Raw genomic sequence first — 6,528 nt, forward strand, 5'->3', positions numbered from 1 at the left:
GGAGCTAAGTGATGAGAACTTATGAACACAAAGAAGGAAACAACAGACACTGGAATCTACTTGAGATGAGAGGATGGGAGGAAAGAAAAAAATGTGTATTATGTTGTTATTGAGTATTAACATTCTATACATCAATTAGGTCAACGGGTAGATAATGCTCTAGCCTTCTTTTATTGATTATCTTTAAATTCTATCAATTACTAAATATGGAGTGTTCATATCTCCAACTATAATTGTGAATTTGTCCATTTCTCCTTTTATATTTGTTCTGCTTTTATTTATATATTTTGAAGCTCTATTACTGAGTGTATATACATTTAAAATCTCCTTCATTAATTGATACTTTTGTTGTTTAAAAATGTCCCTCATTATCCTTGGTAATATTTCTTGTCCTGAAGTCTATTTTTTTTTTTTTTTACTTTTTGTCTCTATGGATTTGTTTATTGTGGGCTGTTCATGTAAATGAAATAATACACTATATGGTCTTCGTGGCTGGCTTCTTTCACATAGCATAACCTTTTAAAGGGACATCTTTATTATAGTCTGTATTAATATTTCATTTTTTTAACTTTTATGTTCAAGGGTATATGTGAAGGTTTGTTACGTGGGTAAATTCGTGTCATGGGGGTTGTACAGATTATTTCATCACCCAGATATCAATTTTAGTACTCAATAGTTATCTTTTCTGCTCCTGTCCCTCCTCGCATCCTCCAACCTCAAGTGCACCCCAGTGTCTGTTGTTTCTTTGTGCTCATGAGTTATCATCATTTAGCTCACACTTCTAAGTGAGAACATGCGGTATTTGGTTTTCTATTCCTGTGTTAGTCTGATAAGGATGATGGTCTCCAGCTCCACCCATGTTCCTGTTAAAGACATCAACTTGTTCTTTTTTTATGGCTGCATATGTTTTATGGTGTATATGTAAATATTTTCTTTATCCAATCTGTCATTGATGGGCATTTAGGTGGATTCCATGTCTTTGTTATTGTGAATAGCACTGCAATGAACATTCGTGTTCATGTGTCTTTATGGTAGAATGATTTATATTCCTCTGGATATACACCTAGTAATAGGATTGCTAGGTCGAATGGTAGTTCTGCTTTTAGCTCTTTGAGAAATTACCATACTGCTTTCCACAATGGCTGAATTAATTTACACGCCCACCAATGGTTTATAAGTGTTCACTTTTCTCTGCAGCCTCACCAACATCTATTGATTTTTTGACTTTTAACTAATAGCCATTGTGACTGGAGTGACATGGTATATCACTGTTGTTTTGATTTGCGTTTCTCTAATGATCAATGATATTGAGCTTCTTTTCATATGCTTGTTGTCCCGGTGTATGTCTTCTTTTTAAAAGTGTCTCTTCATGTCCTTTGGCCACTTTTTAATAGGATTGTTTTCTCTTTTTTCTTTATTATTATTATTATCATACTTTAAGTTTTAGGGTACATGTGCACAACGTGCAGGTTTGTTACATATGTATACATGTGCCATGTTGGTGTGCTGCACCCATTGACTCGTCATTTAACATTAGGTATATCTCCTAATGCTATCCCTCCCCCCTCCCCCCACCGCACAACCGGCCCCAGTGTGTGATGTTCCCCTTCCTGTGTCCATGTGATCTCATTGTTCAATTCCCACCTATGAGTGAGAACATGTGGTGTTTGGTTGTTTTGTCATTGCGACAGTTTGCTGAGAATGATGGTTTCTGGCTTCATCCATGTCCCTACAAAGGACATGAGCTCATCATTTTTTATGGCTGCATAGTATTCCATGGTATATATGTGCCACATTTTCTTAATCCAGTCTATCATTGTTGGACATTTGGGTTAGTTCCAAGTCTTTGCTATTGTGAATAGTGCCGCAATAAACATACATCTGCATGTGTCTTTATAGCAGCAAGGATTATAATCCTTTGGGTATATACCCAGTAATGGGATGGTGGGAACAAATGGTATTTCTAATTCTAGATCCCTGAGAAATCGCCACATCGACCTCCACAATGGTTGAACTAGTTTACAGTCCCACCAACAGTGTAAAAGTGTTCCTATTTCTTCCCATCCTCTCCAGCACCTGTTGTTTCCTGACTTTTCAATGATTGCCATTCTAACTGGTTTGAGATGGTATCTCATTGTGGTTTTGATTTGCATTTCTCTGATGGCCAGTGATGATGAGCATTTTTTCATGTGTTTTTTGGCTGCATAAATGTCTTCTTTTGAGAAGTGTCTGTTCATATCCTTTGCCCACTTTTTGATGGTACTGTTTGTTTTTTTCTTGTAAATTTGTTTGAGTTCACTGTAGATTCTGGATATTAGCCCCTTGTCAGATGAGTAGGTTGCAAAAATCTTCTCCCATTCTGTAGGTTGCCTGTTCACTCTGATGGTGGTTTCTTTTGCTGTGCAGAAGCTCTTTAGTTTAATTAGATCCCATTTGTCAATTTTGGCTTTTGCAGCAATTGCTTTTGGTGTTCCAGACATGAAGCCCTTGCCCTTGCCTATGTCCTGAATGGTATTGCCTAAGTTATCTTCTAGGATTTTTATGGTTTTAGGTCTAACATGTAAGTCTTTAATCCATCTTGAATTAATTTTTGTATAAGGTGTAAGGAAGGGATCCAGTTTCAGCTTTCTACATATGGCTAGCCAGTTTTCCCAAGCACCACTTATTAAAAATGGAATCCCTTCGCATTGCTTGCTTTTGTCAGGTTTGTCAAAGATCAGATAGTTGTAGATATGTGGCATTATTTCCGAGGGCTCTGTTCTGTTCTGTTCCATTGGTCTATATCTCTGTTTTGGTACCAGTACCATGTTGTTTTGGTTACTGTAGCCTTGTAGTATAGTTTGAAGTCAGGTAGCATGATGCCTCCAGCTTTGTTCTTTTGGCTTAGGATTGACTTGGCAATGCGGGCTCTTTTTTGGTTCCATATGAACTTTAAAGTAGTTTTTTCCAATTCTGTGAGGAAAGTCATTGGTAGCTTGATGGGGATGGCATTGAATCTATAAATTACCTTGGGCAGTATGGCCATTTTCACAATATTGATTCTTCCTACCCATGAGCATGGAATGTTCTTCCATTTGTTTGTGTCCTCTTTTATTTCATTGAGCAGTGGTTTGTAGTTCTCCTTAAAGAGGTCCTTCACATCCCTTGCAAGTTGGATTCCTAGGTATTTTATTCTCTTTGAAGCAATTGTGAATGGGAGTCCACTCAGGATTTGGCTCTCTATTTGTCTGCTATTGGTGTATAAGAATGCTTGTGATTTTTGCACATTGATTTTGTATCCTGAGACTTTGCTGAAGTTGCTTATCAGCTTAAGGAGATTTTGGGCTGAGACAATGGGGTTTTCTAAATATACAATCATGTCATCTGCAAACGGACAATTTGACTTCCTCTTTTCCTAATTGGATGCCCATTATTTCCTTCTCCTGCCTGATTGCCCTGGCCAGAACTTCCAACACTATGTTGAATAGGAGTGGTGAGAGAGGGCATCCCTGTCTTGTGCCAGTTTTCAAAGGGAATGCTTGCAGTTTTTGTCCATTCAGTATGATATTGGCTGTGGGTTTGTCAAAGACAGCTCTTATTATTTTGAGATACGTCCCATCAATACCTAATTTATTGAGAGTTTTTAGCATGAAGGGCTGTTGAATTTTGTCAAAGACCTTTTCTGCATGTATTGAGATAATCATGTGATTTTTGTCTTTGGTTCTGTTTATATGCTGGATTACGTTTACTGATTTTCATATGTTGAACCAGCCTTGCATCCCAGGGATGAAGCCCACTTGATCATGCTGGATAAGCTTTTTGATGTGTTGCTGGATTCGTTTTGCCAGTATTTTATGGAGGATTTTTGCATCAATGTTCATCAAGGATATTGGTCTAAAATTCTCTTTTTTTGCTGTGTCTCTGCCAGGCTTTGGTATCAGGATGATGCTGGCCTCATAAAATGAGTAAGGGAGGATTCCCTCTTTTTCTATTGATTGGAACAGTTTCAGAAGGAATGGTACCAGCTCTTCCTTGTAGCTCTGGTAGAATTCGGCTGTGAATCCATCTGGTCCTGGACTTTTTTTGGTTGATAAGCTGTTAATTATTGCCCCAATTTCAGAGCCTGTTATTGGTCTATTCAGAGATTCAAATTCTTCCTGGTTTAGTCTTGGGATGGTGTATGTGTTGAGGAATTTATCCATTTCTTCTAGATTTTCTAGTTTATTTGCATAGTGGTGTTTATAGTATTCTCTGATGCTAGTTTGTATTTCTGTGGGATCAGTGGTGATATCCCCTTTGTCATTTTTTATTGTGTCTATTTGATTCTTCTCTGTTTTCTTCTTTATTAGTCTTGCTGGTGGTCTATCAATTTTGTTGATCTTTTCAAAAAACCAGCTCCTAGATTCATTGATTTTTTGAAGGGTTTTTTTGTGTCTCTATTTCCTTCAGTTCTGCTCTGATCTTAGTTATTTCTTGCCTTCTGCTAGCTTTTGAATGTGTTAGTTCTTGCTTCTCTAGTCCTTTCAGTTGTGATGTTAGGGTGTCAATTTTAGATCGTTCCTGCTTTCTCTTGTGGGAATTTAGTCCTATAAATTTCCCTCTACACACTGCTTTGGATGTGTCCCAGAAATTCTGGTATGTTGTGTCTTTGTTCTCGTTGGTTTTGAAGAACATCTTTATTTCTGCCTTCATTTCATTTTGTGCCCAGTAGTCATTCAGGAGCAGGTTGTTCAGTTTCCATGTAGTCGAGTGGTTTTGAGTGAGTTTCTTAATCCTGAGTTCTAGTTTGATTGCACTGTGGTCTGAGAGACAGTTTGTTATAATTTCTGTTCTTTTACATTTGCTGAGGAGTGCTTTACTTCCAACTCTGTGGTCAATTTTGGAATAGGTGTGGTGTGGTGCTGAAAAGAATGTATATTCCACTGATTTGGGGTGGAGAGTTCTGTAGATGTCTATTAGGTCTGCTCGGTGCAGAACTGAGTTCAATTTCTAGATATCCTTGTTAATTTTCTGTCTCATTGATCTGTCTAATGTTGACAGTGGGGTGTTAGAGTCTCCCATTATTAATGTGTGGGAGTCTAAGTCTCTTTGTATGTCACTCAGGACTTGCTTTTTGCATCTGGGTGCTCCTGTATTGCGTGCATATATATTTAAGATAGTTAGTTCTTCTTGTTGAATTGGTCCCTTTGCCATAATGTAATGGCCTTCTTTGTCTCTTTTGATCTTTGTTGGTTTAAAGTCTGTTGTATCAGAGACTAGGATTGCAACCCCTGCCTTTTTTTGTTTTCCATTTGCTTGGTAGATCTTCCTCCATCCCTTTATTTTGAGCCTATGTATGTCTCTGTACATGAGATGGGTTTCCTGAATACAACACACTGATGGGTCTTGACTCTTTATCCAATTTGCCAGTCTGTGCCTTTTAATTGGAGCATTTAGCCCATTTACATTTAAGGTTAGTATTGTTCTGTGTGAAAGTGATCCTGTCATTATGATGTTAGCTGGTTATTTTGCTCGTTAGTTGATGCAGTTTCTTCCTAGCCTGGATGCTCTTTACAATTTGGCATGTTTTTGCAGTGGCTGGTACCGGTTTTTCCTTTCCATGTTTAGTGCTTCCTTCGGGAGCTCTTTAAGGCAGGCCTGGTGGTAACAAAATCTCTCAGCATTTGCTTGTCTGTAAAGTATTTTATTTCTCCTTCACTTATGAAGCTTAGTTTGGCTGGATATGAAATTCTGGGTTGAAAATTCTTTTCTTTAAGAATGATTAATATTGGCCCCCACTCTCTTCTGGCTTGTAGAGTTTCTGCTGAGAGATCAGCTGTTAGTCTGATGGGCTTCCCTTTGTGGGTAACCCGACCTTTCTCTCTGGCTGCCCTTAACATTTTTTCCTTCATTTCAACTTTGGTGAATCTGACAATTATGTGTCTTGGAGTTACTCTTCTCGAGGAGTATCTTTGTGGCGTTCTCTGTATTTCCTGAATTTGAATGTTGGCCTGCCTTGCTAGATTGGGGAAGTTCTCTTGTATAATATCCTGCAGAGTGTTTTCCAACTTGGTTCCATTCTCCCTGTCACTTTCAGATACACCAATTAGACGTAGATTTGGTCTTTTCACATAGTCCCATATTTCTTGGAGGCTTTGTTCATTTCTTTTTATTCTTTTTTCTCTAAACTTCTCTTCATGCTTCATTCCATTCATTTTGTGTTCCATCGCTGATACCCTTTCTTCCAGTTGATCGCATCAGTTACTGAGGGTTGTGCGTTCGTCACATAGTTCTCATGCCATGGTTTTCAGCTCCATCAGGTCCTTTAAGGACTTCTCTGCATTGGTTATTCTAGTTGTCCATTCATCTAATTTTTTTTCAAAGCCTTTAACTTCTTTGCCCTTGGTTTGAACTTCTTCCTTTAGCTTGGAGCAATTTGATCTTCTGAAGCCTTCTTCTCTCAATTCATCAAAGTCATTCTCCATCCAGCTTTGTTTCATTGCTGGTGAGGAGCTGCGTTCCTTTGGAGGAGGAGAGGTGCTCTGATTTTTAGAGTTTCCAGTTTTTCAG

This window comes from Homo sapiens, chromosome X (genome assembly GCF_000001405.40).
Source record: "Homo sapiens chromosome X, GRCh38.p14 Primary Assembly".
Taxonomy (NCBI): Eukaryota; Metazoa; Chordata; class Mammalia; order Primates; family Hominidae; genus Homo; species Homo sapiens.